Source organism: Homo sapiens, chromosome 17 (assembly GCF_000001405.40).
Source record: "Homo sapiens chromosome 17, GRCh38.p14 Primary Assembly".
In the NCBI taxonomy this organism is placed as follows: domain Eukaryota; kingdom Metazoa; phylum Chordata; class Mammalia; order Primates; family Hominidae; genus Homo; species Homo sapiens.
The window spans coordinates 19,521,320-19,543,393 of NC_000017.11; the positions used below are offsets into that span (position 1 = coordinate 19,521,320).

General features: G+C 48.3%; 1 protein-coding gene across 1 annotated transcript in view; it reads left to right on the forward strand.

Moving 5' to 3' along the window:
• Window positions 1–12,534: 12,534 nt before the first annotated feature.
• Window positions 12,535–22,074, forward strand: part of SLC47A1 (solute carrier family 47 member 1) — a 45,181-nt gene continuing 35,641 nt past the window's right edge. The window contains exons 1-2 of the mRNA NM_018242.3: window positions 12,535–12,755; window positions 21,074–21,175. Coding sequence (NP_060712.2) covers window positions 12,621–12,755; window positions 21,074–21,175 — 237 coding nt within the window. The 5' untranslated portion in view covers window positions 12,535–12,620. The remainder of the gene's footprint in view (window positions 12,756–21,073; window positions 21,176–22,074) is intronic.

Here is a 22,074-nt window from a genome sequence, read left to right on the forward strand (position 1 = left end):
TCATAAGATTTAAATTCATGACCAACATGTTTTAAAACTTTTCTTGGGATTTCTTCTTTGGCCCATGTGTTACTCAAAAGCGTGTTGTTGGCCGGCGCAGTGGCTCACACCTGTAATCCCAGCACTTTGGGAGGCTGAGGCGGGTGGATTTCCTGAGGTCAGGAGTTCAAGACCAGTCTGACCAACACGGTGAAACCCCGTTTCTACTAAATACAAAAACTTAGCTGAGTATGGTGACGCATTCCTGTAATCCCAGCTACTTGAGAGGCTGAGGCAGGAGAATCGCTTGAAACCGGAAGGCGAAGGTTGCAGTGAGCCGAGATTGCGCCATTGCACTCCACCCTGGGCAACAAGAGTGAAACTGTCTCAAAAAAGAAATGTGTTGTTTAATCTCCAGATATTTTGGGCTTTTTCCAGCTAGCTTTCTGTTATTGATTTCTAGTTTAATTTTATTGTGTCCTGACAACATACTTTGTGTGGTTTCTTTTTCTTTTTCTTTTCTTTCTTTTATTTATTTTTTTTGAGACATAGTTTCGCTGGAGTACAATGGCGCGACCTTGGCTTGCTGCAACCTCTGCCTCCCTGGTTCAAGCGATTCTCCTGCCTCAGCCTCCTGAGTAGCTGGGATTATAGGCATGCACCACCACACCCGGCTAAATTTTGTATTTTTAGTAGAGACAGGGTTTCTCCGTGTTGGTCAGGCTGGTCTCGAACTCCCAATCTCAGGTGATCCATCCACTTGGGCCTCCCAAAGTGCTGGGATTACAGGCATGAGCCATCGTGCCCGGCCCAAAATGTTCTTCTGAAGCCCTGTGCACTTTACCTCACTTCCTTTAACTTTTTTTTTTTTCTTTGAGACAGAGTTTCGCTCTTGTTGCCCAGGCTGGAGTGCAATGGCTTGACCTTGGCTCACCGCAACCTCCGCCTCCCAGGTTCAAGTGATTCTCCTGCTTCAGCCTCCCGAGTAGCTGGGACTACAGACATGAGCAACTATGCCCAGCTAATTTTGTATTTTTAGTAGAGACAGTGTTTCTCCATGTTGGTCAGGCTGGTCTCGAACTCCCAACCTCAGGTGATCCACCCGCCTGGGCCTCCCAAAGTGCTGGGATTATAGGTGTGAGCCACCATGCCTGGTCTGTGTGGTTTCTATTCTTTTGAATTTGTTAAGGTGTGTTTTATGGCCCAGAAAATGGCCTATCTCATGGATGTTCCATGCTACCTTGAGAAGAATGTATATTCTGCCGTTGCTGGATGAAGCAGCCTACAAATACTTATATATCTGCTTGACTGGTGGTGCTACTGAGTTACTGAGTTTCTGCTCGCTAGATCTGTTCATTTTTGATAGAGGGGTGTTGAAATCTTCAACCAATAATAGTGGATTCATGTATTTCTCCTTGTAGTTCTATCAGTTTTTGCTTCACACATTAAGGATTGCTATGGGGCCAGGTGAAGCACTTTGGGAGGCCGAGGTGGGCAGATTGCATGAGTCCAGGAGTTTGAGACCAGCCTTGGCAACATGGCAAAACCCTGTCTCTGCAAAAAAATACAAAAATTAGCCAAGCATGGTGGCATGTGCCTATAGTCCCAGCTACTCGGGAGGCTAAGGTGAGAGGACCACTTGAGGAGGTTGCAGTGAGCCGAGATCACACTACTGCACTCCAGCCTGGGTGACACAAAGAGAGCAAGACCCTGTCTCAAAAAAAAAAAAAAAATTGCTATGCATTAACCCCTTTACCATTGTGTAATACCCTTATAAAGATATCCCTTTCTTTGCTCTGAAATCTGTTCTGTCTAAAGTCAGTATAGCTAACCCTTGCTTTCTGTTGATAAGCGTTAGCATAATATATCTTTCTGCATCCCTTTGCCTTTAATCTAGATGTCTTTATATTTAAAATAGCTTTATTTTATTATTATTATTATTATTATTTTAATAGAGATGGGATCTTGCTACGTTGCCCAGGCTGGTTTTGAACTCCGAGGCTTAAGCAATCCTCCCACCTCAGCTCCCAAATTGCTGGGATTACAGGCGTGGGCCACCTTGCCTAGCCTGTGTTTCTTTTTCTTTTTTAAAAACTTTTTCTTAGTGGTTCCCCAAAAGTTTGCAATATACATTTACAATTAATTCAAGTCCACTTCCAAATAACAATGTGTCACTTCACAGGTAATACAAGTGCTTTATAATAACAAAATAATCCTAATTCCTCCCTCTCATTCCTTTCTATGGTTGCTGTCATTCATTTCACTTATGCATACTTAAGCATATCTAAGTTTCAAGGGATTGATCCTGATTTGCCTAAACCAATCACCACTGCCCCTTGTCTAACCCACCACCACAAGCCTCTTTTGGAGATATTACGGGGAAGGGTGTTGGGTTTCCCACTACAGGTAAGCTGGGGTTCGGTTCGACCATTTTAATTTTGATTTTAGATGATAGGGTGACCTTAGCAGGTTGGGCAACTTGGGGACATCCAATCCGGGTTGTTAGAATTTCTCGTACATGTGTATTGGAATTATCTTGATTTTGCCACTTTTCATTGTTTATGTGTTCCCCGAGAGGCAACCACGTGTTTAGGAATGTTTGCCACATGGTTATCAAGTTTCAAAGAGGAGGAATCATATAAGATTTAAATTCATGACCAGGCTCAGTGGTTCATGCCTGTAATCCCGGCACTTTGAGAGGCCAAGACGGGAGGATTGCTTCAGCGCAGGAGTTAAGACCACCCTGGGCAACATGGCAAAACTCCATCTCTACCAACAACAACAAATTAGCTGGGCGTGGTGGCATGAGCCTGTAGTCCCAGCCACTTGGGAGGCTAAAGCGGGAGGATCACTTGAGCCAGGGAGGTAAAGGTTGCAGTGAGCCATGATAGTACCACTGCACTCCAGCGTGGGCGACAGAGCAAGATGCTGTCTCGAGAAACAAAACAAAACAAAAACCACCACCACCAACAAGAAACAGACTGGCCACCGTGGCTCACGCCTGTAATCCTAGCACTTTGGAAGGCAGAGGTGGGCAGGTCATTTGAGGTCAGGAGTTTGAGACCAGTCTGGCCAACATGGTGAAACCCTGTCTCTATTAAAAATACAAAAATTACCCAAGCGTGGTGGCGTGTGCCTGTAGTCCCAGCTACTTGGGAGACTGAGGCATGAGAATCTCTTGAATCCAGGAGGCAGAGGTTGCAGTGAGCCAAGATCTTGCCACTGCACTCCGAGCCTGGACAACAGAGACTCTGTTTCAAAACAAAAATAAACAAAAAAAACCCCCCAAAACCTGACGCTTTGAACCGCTATGGTGATGGCTAAGTGCAGGCATCACATCCCACAGTTAGGAAAAAATTACAAACCAAACACTGGGCTCTGAGATAAATCAGACCAAACCAAAAAAACCAGGGTTACTCTGTCAAGTCCTAGTATCCCAAATCAGTGAAACTTGAGTTGTTCCTGGAAGTTGTTGACTCCCTGACCTGAAATTCTTCTCTCTGATTTTTGTAATGCTAATATCTGAAGATGTGTTATGACCTTTATGGATATGATTTTCATGTGAAATTTTCGCTGTTTTTTCTTTTTTTCATATCATTAACAGACAGTAACTTTGGTAATCTTGTCTTTTTTTTTCTTCAAAAACCTGTAGTGTCTTCTGATTTGGAAATCCATTCCCTGAAGTCTGACCATGCAATTGTTCTGCAGATAACATTCTTCCCTTGTTTAAAATGCATCTGCTTCTGGCTTTTTCTCCCACTGGGAAGGGTCCACCCAGAAAGCCTGGAGGCACTGATCTACTGGAGCTTCCGGGGCGGTTTGTCCAGGTGCACAGATGAACCTAGATCATTTTCTTTCTTTTTTTTTTGAGACGGGGTCTCGCTCTGTTCACTCTGTCGTCCAGGCTGGAGTGCAGTGGCGCGATCTCGGCTTACTGCAAGCTCCACCTCCCAGGTTCACACCATTCTCCTGCCTCGGCCTCCCCAGTAGCTGGGACTACAGGCGCCCGCCACCACGCCTGGCTAATTTTTTTGTATTTTTAGTAGAGACGGGGTTTTGCCATGTTGGTCAGGCTGGTCTTGAACTCCTTACCTCAGGTGATCTGCCTGCCTCAGCCTCCCAAAGTGCTGGGATTACAGGTGTGAGCCACCGCGCCCTGCCGAACCTAGATAATTTCTAAAGCTCCTATAACTTGGAGATGATGACGTTAATAGTGATGGCTTATATTTGCATTCCTCAATAGGGTTCACAGGCAGGCATGGCTGCTCATGTCGGTAATCCCAACACTCTGGCAAACGGAGGCTGGAGGATCACTTGAGCTCAGGAGTTTGAGGCTCGCCTGGGCAACACAGGTAGACCCTATCTCTATAAAAAATAAAAAAATTAGCCAGGCATGGTGGTGAGTGCCTGTAATCCTTACTAAGGAGGCTGAAGTGGGAGGATCACTTGAGCCTAGGAGGTTGAGGCTGCAGTGAGCCAAAATCATGCCACTGCACTCCAGCCTGGGTGACAGAGTGAAACCCTGTCTCAAAAAAAAGGAGTCATAGTGTACTTTTACACTCATTTTATCCTTTGATCCTCCCAATAAGGATGCATTTCCTTTTTTTTTTTTTTTTTTTTTTGAGACAGAGTCTCGCTCTGTCGCCCAGGCTGGAGTGCAGTGGCTCGATCTCGGCTCACTGCAAGCTCAACCTCCTGGGTTCACGCCATTTTCCTGCCTCAGCCTCCCGAGTAGCTGGGACTACAGGCGCCTGCCACTGCGCCCGGGTAATTTTTTTGTTGCTGTTGTATTTTTAGTAGAGACGGGGTTTCACCGTGTTAGCCAGGATGGTCTCGATCTCCTGACCTCATGATCCGCCCGCCTCGGCCTCCCAAACCAAAGTGCTGGGATTACAGGCGTGAGCCACTGCGCCCGGCCAAGGATGAATTTCATGATGCAATAAAGCTTAAAGCTTAACTCTCACGAATCTGTTTTTTTTTTTTTTTTTTTTTTTTTTTTTTTTTTTTTTTTGTGAGACAGTTTCTTGTTGCCCAGGCTGGAGTGCAGTGGCGTGATCTCGGCTCACTGCAACCTCCACCTCCTGGGTTCAAGCGATTCTCCTGCCTCAACCTCCTGAGCAGCTGGGATTACAGGCTTGCGCCACCATGCCCAGCTAATTTTTGTATTTTTAGTAGAGAAGGGGTTTCACCAGACCTCAGATGATCCGCCCGCCTCGGCCCCGCAGAGTGCTGGGATTACAGGCGTGAGCCACCGCGCCGCCTCCTGTGTTTTTTTAACTGTTTGCTGGCTTTGTTTCTGTTTTACTTTCTAGATTCTGTCTGATTCTTGGCCAGGTCTGTTTCTGGCTTGTGTTCTGATTTGTATACAGCGACTTATGGCCCCTTCAGTGAGGTTTTCATGATCTGACCATTAGGCGAACTCTGCCAGACAGCAGACTGAGCAGGAATTCTGATTATTGGTAGTAGATTTTTGTTGTTCTTGTTTTGGTTTGTGTGTTTATCTTGGAGATCCCAATGTCTCCTGGCTCCTCAGTTTTGTCTTTATTGTTTATATACAGTGTGAGTGCAATTTATTCAATTAGAAAAGGGCCTTTTCTTTCCCTGGAATGGAGAGCAGCCTTTGATTCCTGTAGCTCAACCAATTGGTCAGTTTTGAGTTCTGCGTTTTCCTTTATGATTTGTGGGCAAAGTTAACAAAACTGAAAAAGTTGGCTCTCTTTCTGTGTATCTAAATTTATTTATTTATTTTTTGAGACAGGGCCTCACTCTGTCATCTAGGCTGGAGTGCAGTGGCACAATCACAGCTCACTGCAGCCTCCACCCCCCTCCATGCTCAAGTGATCCTCCCACTTCAGCCTCCCAAGTAGCTGGGACTACAGGCGCATGCCACCACACCTAGCTAATTTTTGTATTTTTTTTTTTTTTGTAGAGACGGGGTTTCAACATGTTGCCCATGCTGGTGTTGAACTCCTGAGCTCAAACAATTCTCCTGCCTCAGCCTTCTAAAGTGTTGGGATTACAGGCGTAAGCCTCTGCACTACCCTGTGTGTCTAAATTTTAAAAAGCCTTCCCCTTTCTTGCCAAAAACAGGTATTTACCCTTTACAATCACCTGTTTATACTCTCTCTGCCTCCCTCTCTCTCTCCCTCTCTGTCTTCATTTAATATCTGTGATTCTCTTGGCTTTGCCCTTTTCCAATATTGGCTTTATCCCAGGGCCAGCAGCATTATGGTTGTAGCACTTCCAGGCATAACATTCAGATACCACTGGGTGTGGTGGCTCACGCCTGTAATTCCAGCACTTTGGGAGGCCAAGGCAGGTGGATTGCTTGAGCTCAGGAGTTCGAGACCAGCCTGGGCAACATGGTGAAACCCCGTGTCTACAAAAAAATACAAAAATTAGCCAGGTGTGGTGACGGGCTCCTGTGGTCCCAGCTATTTGGGAGACTGAGGTGGGAGGACCTCTTGAGCCCAGGAAGCAGAGGTTGCAGTGAGCCAAGATCACACACTACACTCCAGCCTGGGCAACAGAGTGAGACTCTGTCTCGAAAAAAAAAAATTCGGATGCCACAATATCTGAAGGAGAAAATAGGGGCCTTTTTCTTCTCTGACTGTTAGAAATAGGAAAGTTTTTCCAGAAACGCCATTAGATTTTCACTCAGGCTTCATGGCTAGAATTGGATCATGAGCTTGGGCAACATAGTGAGACTCTGTCTCTAATATACATATAAATACATTAAATAGAATTGGGTCATGCATGTCCATTCCTACATAGGGCCCTGAGAAGGAAAATGAGATTCTTGTGGCTGGCTAAATGACCCATCTGGGGTGAAAGGAATGTTGGGGAACTAGCCACAATGACCACCATCAATTCTACAATAAAAAGAGAATCGAGGGCCGGGCACGGTGGCTCACACCTGTAATCCCAGCACTTTGGGAGGCTGAGGCGGGCAGATCATGAGGTCAGGAGTTCGAGACCAGCCTGGCCAACATAGTGAAACCTCATCTCTACTAAAAATACAAAAATTAGCCAGGCGTGGTGGCACATGCCTGTAGTCCCAGCTACTCGGGAGACTGAGGCAGGAGAATCGCTTGAACCCAGGAGGTGGAGGTTGGAATGAGCCGAGTTCTCACCATTCCAGCTTGGGCAAAAGAGTGAGACATAATCTCAAAAAAAAAAAAAAAAAAAAAAAAAAAGAGAATCGGGGCCGGGCACGGTGGCTCACACCTGTAATCCCAGCACTTTGGGAGGCCGAGGCGGGTGGATCACTTGAGGTCAGGAGTTCGACACCAGCCTGGTCAATACAGTGAAACCCTGTCTCTACTAAAAATACAAAAATTAGCCAGGTGTGGTGGCACATGCCTGTAGTCCCAGCTACTCGGGAGACTGAGGCAGGAGAATCGCTTGAACCCAGGAGGTGGAGGTTGGAATGAGCTGAGTTCTCACCATTCCAGCTTGGGCAAAAGAGTGAGACTTAATCTCAAAAAAAAAAAAAAAAAAAAGAGAATCAGGGCCGGGCACGGTGGCTCACACCTGTAATCCCAGCACTTTGGGAGGCCGAGGCGGGTGGATCACTTGAGGTCAGGAGTTCGACACCAGCCTGGCCAAAATGGTGAAACCCCATCTCCACTAAAAATACAAAAAAAGTTAGCCAGGCATGGTGGCGCACATCTGTAATCCAAGCTACTCTGGAGGCTGAAGCAGGAGAATCGCTTGAATCTGGGAGGTGGAGGTTGCAGTGAGCTGAGATCGTGCCATTGCACTCTGCACTCCAGCCTGGGCGACAGAGTGAGACTCCATCTCAAAAAAAAAAAAAAAAAAAAGAGAGAGAGAGAGAGAATTGGAGTGGATTGGAGTTTTCACCTGTAATGTATAACGCTAGAAGCATGGGAATGTGTAAAATATCATGACCGCAAACATTCAGAAAGCACACGCCACAATATCCTGAGAAAGTACCCACTAGAAAATGAAAAGCTAATCAGAATTTAAAATTACAGGGAAGATACAGACGTGGTCAGAACATGGTGAGTATGAGATGCTGAATAAGGCCTCCCAAAGATGTCCCCATCCATCTACTGAAACCTGTGAATACATAACCTTGCATGGCAAAAGGACTTGGAGATGTGATTACTACAAGGATCTTAAGATGCAAAGGTTATCCTGGGTTATCGGGTGGGCCTAATGGAATCTCTTTTTCTGAGAGGAAGACAAGAGAGTAAAAGCTGGAAAAAGGAGACGTGATGAAAGAACAGAGGCTGCAGTGATGTGCTTTGGAGATGGAGGAAGAGGGAGGCGGCATCTAGAAGCAGGAACAGGCAAGGGAATGGATTCTTCCTGAGCCCTAGCAAGAACGCAGCTCTGCTGACACCTTGATTTCAGCCTCACGGAACCCATTTCAGGCTTCTGACCTCTGTTAAATAGTAACTTTGTGTTATCATAAGCTATTAAATTTGTGGTAATTTGTTACAGCAGCAATCAATAAACACTTATCATGAATGACCAAAATTAATTCAAGAAGAGGTTAAACAAAACCCTGAATAGACCAGCAACTTCTAAATAAACAGAAAACCTTTTATTTTTTTTCTTATTTTTAAATAAAATACCCCTTCTATAAAGGCATCAGATGGTCCTCTAGGTGAGTGGCCTTCAAACCTTCAAGAAACAGATCATTCTTATGGTATTTGAATAATTACAGAGCCTAAAGATTCACGGAAGCCAGGCGCAGCAGCTCACGCCTGTAATCCCAGCACTTTGGGAGGCCAAGGCAGGAGGACTGCTTGAGCCTAGGATTTCAAGACCAGCCTGGGCAACATAGTGAGACCCCTGTCTGTATAAAAATAAATAAATATAAAAATCCTGAATATAATATTAGCAATAAATCTACCACTATATACCTGTTATAGTATACTATTATGAATAAGGGAAGTTTATTCCAGGAATCAGTGACAGCTAAACATTAGGAAATCTACAATGAACTTACACTAACAACCGAAAAGAGAAGAAAAATTTGATTATTTCAATTAATACTAAATATATATATATATATATAGAGCACAGTGGCTCATGCCTGTAATCCCAGCACTCTTGGAGGCCAAGGCAGGAGGATCACTTTGAGCTCAGGAGTTTGAGACCAGCCTAGGCAATATAGTGAGACCTCTTTGTCTCTATAAAAAATATGAAAATAGGCTGGGCATGGTGCCTCATGCCTGTAATCCCAGCACTTTGGGAGGCCAAGGCAGGTGGATTACCTGAGGTTGAGACCAGCCTGACCAACAAGGAGAAACCCCAACTCTACTAAAAAAAAAAAAATTCAAAATTAGTCGGGTGTGGTGGCACATGCCTGTAATCCCAGCTACTCGGGAGGCTGAGGCAGGTGAGTTGCTTGAACCCAGGAGGCAGAGGTTGCGGTGAGCCAAGATCGCACAATTGCACTCCAGCCTGGACAACAAGAGTGAAACTCTGTCTCAAAAAAAAAAAAAAAAAAAAAAAGGAACAAGAAAACAAAATTAGCCGGGTGTGGTGGCACATGCCTGTAGTCCCAGCTCTTCAGGAGGCTAAGGTGGGAGAATTGCTTGAGCCAGGGAGGTCGAAGCTGCTTTGAGCCGAGATCAAACCATTGCATTCCAGTCCAGGCGACAGAGAGAGACCCTGTCCCCCCGAAAAGAAAAAAAAAAAACCCTGATAAAATTCAATTTTAATACATGCTTTTAATAATATATTTCAGCAAGTTAAGAACCGTATATGAACATACTTATGACTATTTATCAAGCATCAATAACAAATTCATCATATCCCTAGTCCAGTGAGTCTCCCATTCCCTAGATGAGTACTGATTAGACTAGGGATATGATTGAAATAGAAGACAGAATTTTAACGAGGTGCATTCTTTCTGAATAAATCTGCAGATATAATGCAATGTCAATCAAAATCCTAACACTTTCCAAGTAACAGGGTTCTTTGTTCTTTTAATTGTTTTGTTTTTTGTTTTTTATTGAGATAGGGTCTCACTCTGCTGCCCAGGCTGGAGTGCTGTAGTGCAATCATAGCTCACTGCAGCCTCAAACTGCGGGGCTCAGTCGATCCTGTCACCTCAGCCTCCCAAAGTGCTGGGGCTACAGGTGTGGGCTACTCACCTGTACAATGTGCTCAGCCAACCACACGTTGTTTTAAAAGCTATTTACCAGCCAATAGAGCTACTTCTTTCCTCCTTACTTTTCTTTTTCAGAGTTTTTGTTATATCTTTTCCTGTTTACACTATCAATTGCTTTTAGAATCATTCTATTAAATTTTAAAATAATGGAATACACAGTAGTGGACTAAAACCTAATATATTAATTGAAAATTAATTTTCCTGTGCTACTTTTTGGAAGGAAGTCACTGTGTACAATCCACCTTTAAGGAGTGAGGAGTTATGCTCTGTATCACGAGGACCTTTTGTTTTTTGTTGCTATTGTGAAAGATTTCTTTTAGTATTTTCATATATGTTATTACCAATATAAAGGACTGATATGACTTGTTGAAGAACTTCTATGTAGCAACTTTATTAAACCCCTTTATCAATTCTATTAGCTTTTGTTCATATTTTATTTCTTTGGGTTGTGTGGATTTTTTTTAAGAGATGGGGTCTCACTGTGTTGCCCAGGCTGGTCTCAAAACTCCTGGGTTCCAGTGATCCTCCCACCTCGGCCTTCCAAAGTGTTGGGATTATAGGCATGAGCCACTGTGCCTGGCCCGGTCTGTCAATTTCTACTGTGAGTAATCCCTTTGCCTTTTCTTTCCTAACATTATACATTACATTTCCATTTCCTGTCTTATTACATCAGTCAGGACTTCCAGAAAATTATCAAAAAACAGCAGTGATCAGAGATCTAGTGAATATCCTCGGGTATTTGTCTGTTGACACTCTCAGTTCTTTTGGGAAACTGCGCTACTCCATATGTACAGTCCTTGTGGGACGAGACCAGTCACAGGGCACCTAACCCTAACCCTGTAGGTTCAAAGCTGGGTGCATGGTCCAGGGCCAGCCAAACATCAGACCCTATTTTCCCACCCAGGGCGATTGTTCCAGAGGTGGGCAAGAAACCTAAGCAGGGCCAACCAGATTTTCTCCCAGTTTTTTGTTTGTTAGTTTGGAACCAGAAGAGAGGAGGGGAGGGCCTTACTTTCTGGTTTAACAGACGGGAAAGATAGGAACGAGGGTATCAGAGGCCACCACTGTCACTTGCACAGGAAGAGAAAGGCTGCCGGCAGAGGAGGAAGAGAAACTACGGAAAGAATCCCAAGGGGCGAGGAGAAGGGAGGAGAGGGACAGAGATGGGAAGAGGGACAACAAGAATGATCTGGTTTTGTTTTTTTTTTTTTTTTGAGTGGAGTCTCCCTCTGCCACCAGGCTGGAGTGCAGTGGCGAGATCTCGGCTCACTGCAACCTCTGCCTCCCGGGTTCAAGCAATTCTCCTGCCTCAGCCTCCCTAGTAGCTGGGATTATGGCGCGCGCCACCATGCACAGCTAATTTTCGGTACAGACGGTGTTTCACCATGTTGGCCAGGATGGTCTCGATCTCTTGACCTTGTGATCCGCCCGCCTAGGCCTCCCAAAGTGCTGGGATTACAGGCGTGAGCCACCGCGCCTGGCCTAATGACCTTGTTTTCAAATCCCTGAATCCAAACTTCCTGATTATGTGAGCCAAAAAATTTGTTTTCCATTTTCTCTACTTACATTGGATCATTACAACGGAAGGAATTTTGACTATTAGAGAAATCAATCTTGTCCTGGTAACTGACACTTATTAGGTAACGGCTGGTGCCAGGCTGAGGGCAGGTGGCACTGACTCCGGTCCTCCGCCCAGGCAACCCCAGTCTTCACAGCTGGCGACGAGTGTTCTTTCACGTTTGCAGATGAGGAAGCTGAGGCTCTGGGAGGAAAGCGCGCTGCTCCTGCCCTTCTGGGCCGCAGCCTCTCGTACTCCCACAGCAGGCTTGATGGATAAACTTCCAACACGACCAGCTGGCACAAACTGTGCTACTTGGCAAATGGGAGCATGTTGCTCTATCCTGGTAGATTCTAAGTTCTCTAATGGAACAACTGATGAGAGGAGAGGAGTATGCAACACCCTAACCAGCATCAAAGGGTGTACCCAACTCAATCTGCACAGCAAATGCGCCCAACCCCACACACCCCGCGGGGTGCTAACCGAGTCACGGCTCGAGGCCTCTGGGTCCTTCCACGCCAGGTCATTCAGAACCTGAAACCCCCAGCGGAGGTGGAGAGCCGGGGTGAGTCCTGGCGTCCGAGACGTGGAGGACCCAGCCCCCGGAGCGCGTTCCGTTAGTTTACAGAGCTTTTTCAAACTTTGCCTTCCAAGTGCAGGAGTTCCTTGGTCTTTGCAAGACCCGCAGGCGTCCGCAGTGGTGCAGAGAGAGGTGCAAGGGGCGCGCCCAAGGTCGCAGGCTGCCTGGCTGCGCGCTCAGTCGGGCCCCCGGGCGCCAGGCGCGGGGCGGGCTCTGGGCGGGCGGCCGGGGCGGGGACTGCAGAGCAGGCTGCACTGCGCGGTACCCACTGCCGGCCTGCGCGGTACTCACTGCCGGCCTCCGCGGTACCCACTGCCGGCCTCCGCGCTACCCGGCCGCAGCGCGCGAGTCACATGGAAGCTCCTGAGGAGCCCGCGCCAGTGCGCGGAGGCCCGGAGGCCACCCTTGAGGTCCGTGGGTCGCGCTGCTTGCGGCTGTCCGCCTTCCGAGAAGAGCTGCGGGCGCTCTTGGTCCTGGCTGGCCCCGCGGTGAGTAAGGTGGCCTCAGTGGCAGGCCGGTACCGGCGGGCTGGGGACCTGGTGATTTCTGCCTCCGCGGGTGACTTTGGCGGGCTTTGGGGACCGAGCGAGCTGTCCGCCGGCGGGCTCCGGGGAGCATCGTGCCAGGAGCCGGGCGGGCACCCCAGCTCCTCTGCCTGCGTCCCGGCCGCTTTCCGCTCCGCACCACCCGACTGGGGGCCCCGCGGGGCACTGCGGGAACGGCTGGTACGCGCCCGGGCGCATGTTGGCTCGGAGAGGCCGGCGGCTCCAGCCTCCTGCGCCAGGAGACACCGGAGAGCTGGGACCTTTGCCCCTAACGGGGCTCTACCAGGTCCAGGCTGCATTTGCATCCGGGGGTGCCTTCTCTGGGAGCTGATTCCGGCCAATAAAACGCAAGTTGCCTGAACTTCAAAACACAAGGGAACTTGTTTCTTTGAAAAGTAGCGGTCAAAAGTTCGGGAGCTCTGCGATCTAAATAATCCCGAGGCACGGAGGAGGGGGTGCGTGGTCTGTCGTGGACTCAGAGCTGCGAAATGATTTCTTCAGAATTCAGTCAACCTCTACCGAGGAAACCAGAGGCATCCTGTACCACCCCCTCCCCGCCAGTAATTATGTATGTGAAAGAAAAAAGGGGTTTTAATGTGGTTCTTTGTGGGGTCGAGGTGTTCTTATCTGTGGGATTCTTTTCTTTTTAATCATTAGGTTAGGGCTGTTTCTGCCTTGTCTCCTAAAAATAATGTGGTTTTAAAAACCACAAAAACACAATCCTATCCACGTTCTCCTGCCAGCTTGGGTGGTTTTCAAACCGAGAGGGTAGGACGCGGCACAAGAAGCAACTGGTATGCACTTAAGGCGTGAATAAGCTTTTGACTTTGAGGCCCACATTCTGCACCTGCGCGGGCTGAGGGGGGCCGCTGTGCCTCTGGAGTGGGGGCTCGGTAGTTTGTGGGATATTGTGGCACCCGCTGTGGTGTGCAGGACAGCAAGGGTAATGCCGAGGTCAAAGCCATGGAATAAGATCCATCAGCCATGCTTTCTCACAGACCAGAAAGAACTCATGATTTGGGGCTGGGCGCGGTGGTTCACGCCTGTAATCCCAGCACTTTGGGAGGCTGAGGCAGATGGATCACTTGAGGTCAGGAGTTCGAGACCAGCCTGGCCAATATGGTGAAACTCCGTCTCTACTAAAAATACAAAAATTAGCCAGACGTGGTGGCGGGCGCCTGTAGTGCCAGCTACTCCAGAGGCTGAGGCACGAGAATCGCTTGAACCTGGGAAGTGGAGGTTACAGTGAGCCAGGATGGTGCCACTGCACTCCAGCCTGAACAACAGAGTAAGACTTGGTCTCAAAAAACAAAACAAAACAAAACAAAAACACCTCATGGCTGGGCGTGGTGGCTCACGTCTGTAATCCCAGCACTTTGGGAGGCCAAGGCAGGCGGATCACGAGGTCAAGAGATTGAGACCATCCTGGCCAACCTGGTGAAACCCCGTCTATACTAAAAATACAAAAAATAAAAAATAAAAATTAGCTGGGCATGGTGGCAGGCGCCTGTAATTCCAGCTACTTGGGAGGCTGAGGCAGGAGAACCGCTTGAACCCGGGAGGCGGAGGTTGCAGTGAGCCCAGATCGCGCCATTGCACTCCAGCCTGGGCAAAAAAACACCTCATGATTTGGAATCTCAAGACCTGGGGCTGCGTGCCCTGCTTTGACCTCCGAAAGTAAGTCAGGAAGCAGCTGTGCAGATTGAAACAGCCTCCTAACCTCTTCTGGTCTCTGCATATTCATTTGTAAAATGGAGATAATAATCATGTCTTGGTTCAACACTCCCTCACAGAGCTGCTGTGAGAAGGGGCTTTCTAAGGCTATTATTGTTTTATTATTATTATTATTTTTTGAGACAGGGTCTTGATCTGTCGGCCAGGCTGGAGTGCAGTGGTGTGATCACAGCTCACTGCAGCCTCAACTTCTGGAGTAGCGGAGATTACAGGCACACACCACCATGCCTGGCTAATTTTTGTATTTTGGGTTAGAGATAGGGTCTCCCTGTGTTGCCCATTGCTTGAATTCCTGGGCTAAAGCAATCCTCCTGCCTCGGCCTCCCAAGAGCTGGGATTATAAGCATAAGCCACCTTGCCCAGCCTGTTATTGCTTTAATAGTATAGCAATAATAATAATAATAATAATAATAATAACAGGGCAGGTTTCTGAAATCCAGCCCTCCCAGTAGCCTGATCCCCTTGATGTGGGGGACCTCTCCAGGTCTCCAGGGATGAGCACTAGACTGACATGCTGGGGACCTCACCTTTTCTCTTTGTATGTACATATATGTATACCATTGTGTTTATTACAAATGTCATGCATATTTACTGTAGAAAAAAATAGAAAACCAAGACCAACAATAGGAAAAAACCCTCTGAAATCTCACCGCTGAGAGGTAATTTGGGAGCTTTCCTTCTAGTCCTTTGTGTGTGTGTGTCTCTGCTTTGTGAAAATGTGATTGTAGAGTTTTGCTACCTGCTTAGTCTCTCATGAAGTGTATGTGGACCGGCCTGGGTCTGTCTCCCATCTCTAATCCCATCTGCTATAAAGTTTTCTGTTTACTAAAGGGCATGGGATAAGGAGAGACCACCCCCTTCTTTTCCCATGCTCATTGTCCAATACTTTCTTCTCCAAGTGTCCAACATAACATGAGGAAGATGCCCTGTCTGGCTCTCCTCTCTGTAATTTTCTCTCTCATTTGCCATCTCCCTTCCAGACCTCTCAAGTTAACCCTGACCCTTGAGGTCTCACTGGGCTTTAAATGAGGGCTTTGTAAAGAGAGTAACCCATAACACAATGGAAATGTGAGCCGAATGGTGCTTATTTCTCAAAAGATGCGTCCATTTTATCCTGGAGAAAGCTTGAGGAAGACTGGATTTGCAAGGGAGGGAACGTGCAGATACCTGGCCTCAGGTACTCCAGCTGTGCCTCTTCTTGGTCATCAGCCTCTCATCACCTGGCTGAATCAAAACAGCAAAAGTTCTGAAAAGTAACCCCAAAGATGGACCCCGGGCATTGCCCGGGATGTAACAGAGGTGGGATAGCCCAGGCCCCAGCTCAGGGAAATGTTTCCACTTGTGTGGGAAGGAGCTGGCGGACCTTCTAGGGTTACAGGGCAGAAATATCAGAGAAGGCAGGCAGGTTGAGGGGGGTGAGGTGGGGGATCTGGAGAGAACCGCTTTACCCGGGACACACAAAGGAAAAAATGCAGGCTGATCTTTTGAATTGTATCCTGAAGGCAATGGGGAAGATATTGATCAGGAAGTGGTTACTGACACCAAATTCTGCAGGGGAAGCCTGGTCAGAGACAGACAGGCCTAGGCCCGAGGAGGGGAAGACCTACAGGGAAGGTGGTTCCTTCCATTCAAAGGGTGAGAGGAAGTAGTCAAAGATGGCAGGAGCTGGACAGAGGAAAGCCGGGTGAGGTCCGGCCCCCACGCCTCTACTCCCCGTTCCCTCCTCCAATCCGTCCTCACCAAGGCCTTTGGCTTTAGCTCCTTAAATACCTCTCAGAGGGATCCACTTTTTCGTATCTCCGCTCTCATGCTCCAAATGGAGCCACCAAGTCCTTTTCAAACGCACATCTGAGCTTGTGCCTCCTGCTCAGAACCCTTTCCTTGGTTCTGCAAAGCCCTCTATGGCCTGGCCCTGGCCAGGCCTCCAGCCTCATCTCTCGTCCCTATCTCCTGGTTACACCCTCCACCCAGCCTCCTTTCAGTGCCTCAGCCTGGAAAGTCCTCCCCGACAGACAAGTCTCCAGCACCTGACTATTTGACATTGACTTGTTCATCATGCAGGTTTCAGCCCCACTTCATTTCCCCCAGAAACCTTCTCTGAATTCTCTGCTGCACCCCACAGCTCATCATGCAAATGTCTTGAGCTGTGTTATTTATTGCGTTTTGAACATCTTTCCCTATTCCACAGATGCTCCTTGGCTTACGATGGGGTTATATGCACTGAAAATATCATTAAGTCAAAATGCCTCTAAAGGATGAGATCACGGATTGCGAGAGTCCTGACTTGCGTGGGACGCATGCTATCCCCGTGCTGGCCAATTATCTTCAGTTCCATTGCAAGAGTAATAGCTGCCTTCTTTTCCCCAGAAGCAGGAGGCACAGATGGCCATTTTGTAGTTATGATGGGATGCAAAAACACAAAACAAAATACCCAAAAAACGCTGGCAACACAGTCCACTGTAGAGTGTCAGCTGCCTGCTCTCGTGATGGCAGGGCTGATGGGCAGCTGTGGCCCACTGCCCTGACAGGCACTGCAAGTCTGAGACTACACATCACTATCCGGGGAAAAGATCAATATCCCAAATTCCAAGTACAGTTTCTACTGAATGTACATTGCTTTTGCACCATTGCAAAGCTGAAAAATTGTAAGTCAGGACCATCTGTACTGTGGGTCCCGTGGGGCAGGAATGGAGTAATGGTGTCTAACTCACACCTGTTCCCCCAGTGCTGGGATGTACTTTGTGCTCCAAAGACAGTGGCCTTATGTAACCATCTGAGTTGAGAGTCAGGTGGCTGGGCTAGTTGCGAAACCTCCTGGGCTGTGCTTCCTCACATGTAAAAGAAGGGGGGCTGTCCCAGGTGACCTCTCAGCTTCTTTCCAGTGAGTGAACTTTCAGCAATCATGGGAGGGGGTAGGAGAGGCTGTCTGGAGGTGCCTGGCCCTGGAGAGCAACTTCTAAAGCTGCCAGGCGCTGAAGGTCTTTATCTGACTGCCAAGTTTGCTTATTGTTGTCTGGCCAAAATCTGAGCAGGGTCACTGTGACAAGAAGGGACGGAAGCACGGTCAGTCTGGAAGTTTCTTTGTTTGAAGCAGGGTCTCGCTGTGTCACCCAGGCTGGAATGCAGTGGTGAGCTGAGCTCAAGTGATCCTTCCTGCTTCAGGCTCCTGAGTGGCTGGAATTGCAGGTGCATGCCACCACGCATGCTATTTTTGGTATTTTCTGTAGAGACGGGGTCTCTACAAAATGTTGCCTGGGCTGGTCTTGAACTCCTGGGCTCAAGCAGTCCTCTTGCCTCAGCCTCCCCAAGTGCTGCGATTGCAGGGATAAGCCACCGTGCCCGGCCCAGTCTGGCAATTTCTGTCATCCATTCAGCTCTGTCCAAGCCACTGCCAGTTCAGGCTGTTCTTCAGACAGCAGCTGCTGAGACATCTAGCGGAACAGGCCTTTGTCCAGAATTGGTTCATTCCCCGAGCACAGAAATATGCTCTGTGACAGCACAGTCCCAGAGGGTCTGGAGCACTCTCAAAGTGTGGCCCTGGACCACATGCATCTTGCCTGGTGTGTATGAGGGAGCATGGGGATATACTGAAATGAAGATTCCTCAGCCCCAGGGAACTCCTGGGTCTTTTTTTTTTGAGATGGAGTCTCTCTCTGTCACCCAGGCTGGAGTGTAGTGGCTTGATCTCCGCTCACTGCAACCTCTGCCCCCTGGGTTCAAACGATTCTCCTGCCTCAGCCTCCCGAGTAGCTGGGATTACAGGTGTGCACCACTGCACCCAGCTAATTTTTTGTATTTTTAGTAGAGATGGGGCTTCACCATGTTGGCCAGACTGGTCTCGAACTTCTGACCTCAGGTGATCTACCTGCCTCGGCCTCCCAAAGTGTTGAGATTACAAGGCGTGAGCCACTGAGCCTGGCCTAACCTCCTGGGTCTTGCGATGGGCCAGGGCAAAGGCTCCCAGGTGGCCCTTATGTACATGATCCACAGTCTATGGCCAAGCGTTCACCCAAAGGGCTTGAAACCAGGATCTGAGAAGAGGTTAGTAAATCTGGACTCAAGCCAAGATCCCTGGCACGGACTTTCAGGATGGGCTGACTGCATGAGGCTGCCCGACTCAGGCAGTCGGAGTACAGGGTTGTTGCCGTAACCCTGGCAGAGCTGCGGCAGCTCTCAAAAAAACTATTTTTGCTGGCATTGACATTGAAGATGCATCTCACATGGATTAGTCTAACTCAGCTCGACTTCCTGGCCTTTTGTATCCGAGACATCTAATGATTCCCTTGGACTGGCCCCCACCCAAGTGAGAAAGATGTTCAAGGCAGTGCAATTTGTGATGGTAAGATCTGGGCAGCACTCCAAAGGCCGGGCAGTAGGGGAGACCGAGCACACTTCCATGTGAAGCCATGAAAAACAGCTCACAGGTGGCCCACAGGGAGGCAGGGAACTGTGGAGTGTAAACGTGATGTTCCGTGGGAAAGGAGAAGACAGATTCTGTGAACACAACCATTTGTTACAGATGATGTGCAAAAGCTTAAAGCACAGTGAACTGAACAGATTTGGAAGTGATGCCGAGTTTACAAATAAAAGGGACCCTGTGGCCTTTAAAGATACATGAATTCACAATTTAAAGAGACACCAAGCTCCACCCAGTGAAACCACAGGGGACATCTGTAAGGGTGGTGACAACGCCCAAATCGTGTGGCACCATTACAGGCCTACTGGGCATCCATTGGCTCTAGGTTTAGATTCTCCAGCATCTGGTTCTTCATGTCAGCCTTTTTTATTGACACCTCCACCCCACCCCCTTTTTATTCCCATCTTCTGTCTTATTTTGGCTTACGCAAAACATTGCAAAAGCGCTCCTCACGTTCAGTAGCAGGGGGACTGTGGCGATTAAATTCACATTAGGCTTCTGTGGTAGTGAGAGAAGTGCCTGGATCATGTAGGAGTTCATACAAGAAAGATACTTCTCCTACAACAGACACACACACACACACACACACACACACCCCTAGGGTTAGGAACAGGCTGTGCTTGCTCTGAAGGTCTGGGCCCATCACAGGAGTTGAAAACAGTCTCTCCCGGGATGTGGATTCTAGGGAAGAAAAGAGGGAGATCATCGGAACCATTATGGCTCGGGGGCCTGATGAGGTCCTGACGTAGCAGTTTTGGGGTGGCTGCAGAGCTGGCAGATGGGCTGTGTGTGAGCCTGGTGGAGGTCAGCTCTAGAACCTAAGTCATTGGAGCCCTAAAAGAGGGACCTTTCTGTGGGCTCAGCACAGAGGACTCTGTTCTCCCTGAGGGCGGTGAGAGGCGGCCTTGTGGCTAGACCAGCAGCAGCATCACCAACTCTGGGGTATCAGCTTCAGTGAGGGCCCCATGGGGCAGATGCAGGCAGCGGCGGCAGCAGCAAATCCTTACACACCCATTCTCTCCTAGGGAGCAGGGGTCAGGTGAACTCCCCATTTTGGGCCGTGTAGCCTGCCAGGGGAGAGGGGCTTCCCCAAGAGAGATACTGGACCGCCTGGGTCTAGTGGGTGGGGGGCAGGAGGTGATTTTAAGTTAACCTCCAGAAATAAGCTCATTATCCAATCATGCAGTGAAAGCACTGTGGAGCAATTCATAGAATTGCCCACTGGAATTTCGAGGAAGAATGGTTCAATATTCCAGAATTTGCCCTCACATCTGAGGCTTCCTAGAATGCAAGGCGTTCAGCAGGCCTGTAATGTTTCACCCTGAGAGTCCGGATCCCGCTGGGACTCCAAGTGGACGATCTCATCGCTACCTCCAGCTCCTCCTGTCTACAGACTTCCTTGCTGGAATGTGTTCTTGTTGTTGAAGGCTGTATTCTCTCCAGTCCTCACTAGGAATCTTGGATAACAAGGGGGTTATCCCAGAAGGCAGCCTCTGCACATTGCAGAGGAAATTTAATGTGATCTATGGCTTGAGAAACTGAACTGAAAAACAGGAAAGGCAGGCTGGGCGCAGTGGCTCACGCCTGTAATCCCAGCACTTTGGGAGGCCGAGGCAGGCAGATCACGAGGTCAGGAGTTTGAGACCAGCCTGACCAACATGGTGAAACTCTGTCCCTACTAAAAATACAAAAATTAGGTGGGTGTGGTGGCGCCTGCCTGTAATCTCAGCTACTCAGGAGGCTGAGGCAGGAGAATTGCTTGAACCTGGGAGGCGGAGGTTGCAGTGAGCCAAGATCGCGCCACTGCACTCCAGCCCAGGTGACAGTGTGAGACTCTGTCTCAAAAAAAAAGAAAAGCTGAAAAGGCTGGGAAGTTCTCAAAAAAGTGATTCTGACCCAGTGGTTGCAAATAAATGTTTTAATATTTCAAGAAGCCTCCCATCCCCAGCCCCAGAAATTGTACATTTGCCTGTGAAAGGTGGCAGAGGCTCACTGAAGTTGTATTTCTTTACTTCTGACTGGACTTGTTGGGTCGGGGTCACACTTGGGGCCCCAGGCTTCCCTGCAATGGTGGTCACTCACGTCCCTTCCCGTTCCCCTCTCTTCCCAGTTCTTGGTTCAGCTGATGGTGTTCCTGATCAGCTTCATAAGCTCCGTGTTCTGTGGCCACCTGGGCAAGCTGGAGCTGGATGCAGTCACGCTGGCAATCGCGGTACGTGTGGGCTTTCTGGCAGGTTTACCAACACTGTCTGTGTTTGCCTTCTGCTGCTACTATAACAAATCATCAAAATGTAGTGGCTGAAACCTACACAGACTTATTCTCTTACAGTGCTGGAGTGCAGAAGTCTGAAGTGGGTTTCATGGCCTAAAATCAAGGTGCTGCAACTTTAATTCCCCTTTGCTGTGTAACCTTGCAGATTCCTAGGTTCTGGGGATTGGGCTGGGGACATCTGGGGGGGCATTATCCTGTCTATCACATCTTCTCATTTATTTTATTTTATTTTATTTTGTTGTTTTTTTTTTTTTTGAGATGAAGTCTCGCGCTGTTACCCAGGCTGGAGTGCAATGGTGCGATCTCGGCTCACTGCAACCTCTGCCTCCCAGGTTCAAGCGATTCTCCTGCCTCAGACTCCTGAGTAGCTGGGGTTACAGGCGTGCGCCACCACACTTGGTTAATATTTGTATTTTTAGTAGAGATGGGGTTTCACCATGTTGCCCAGGCTGGTCTCAAAGTCCTGAGTTCAAGCAATCCACCTGCCTTGGCCTCCGAAAGTGCTGGGATTACAGGTATGAGCCACCGTGCCCAGCCTCACATCATCTTATTTCTTTTCTTTTTTTTTTTTTTCAGACGGAGTCTTGCTCCGTCACCCAGGCTGGAGTGCAGTGGTGTAATCTCGGCTCACTGCAACCTCCGATTCCTGGGTTCAAGCAATTCTCCTGTCTCAGCCTCCTGAGTAGCTGGTACTACAGGTGCCTGCCACCATGTCTGGCTAATTTTTGTATTTTTAGTAGAGACGGGGTTTCACCATGTTGGTCAGGCTGGTCTTGAACTCTTGACCTCAGGTGATCCACCCGCCTCGGCCTCCCAAAGTGCTGGGATTACAGGTGTGA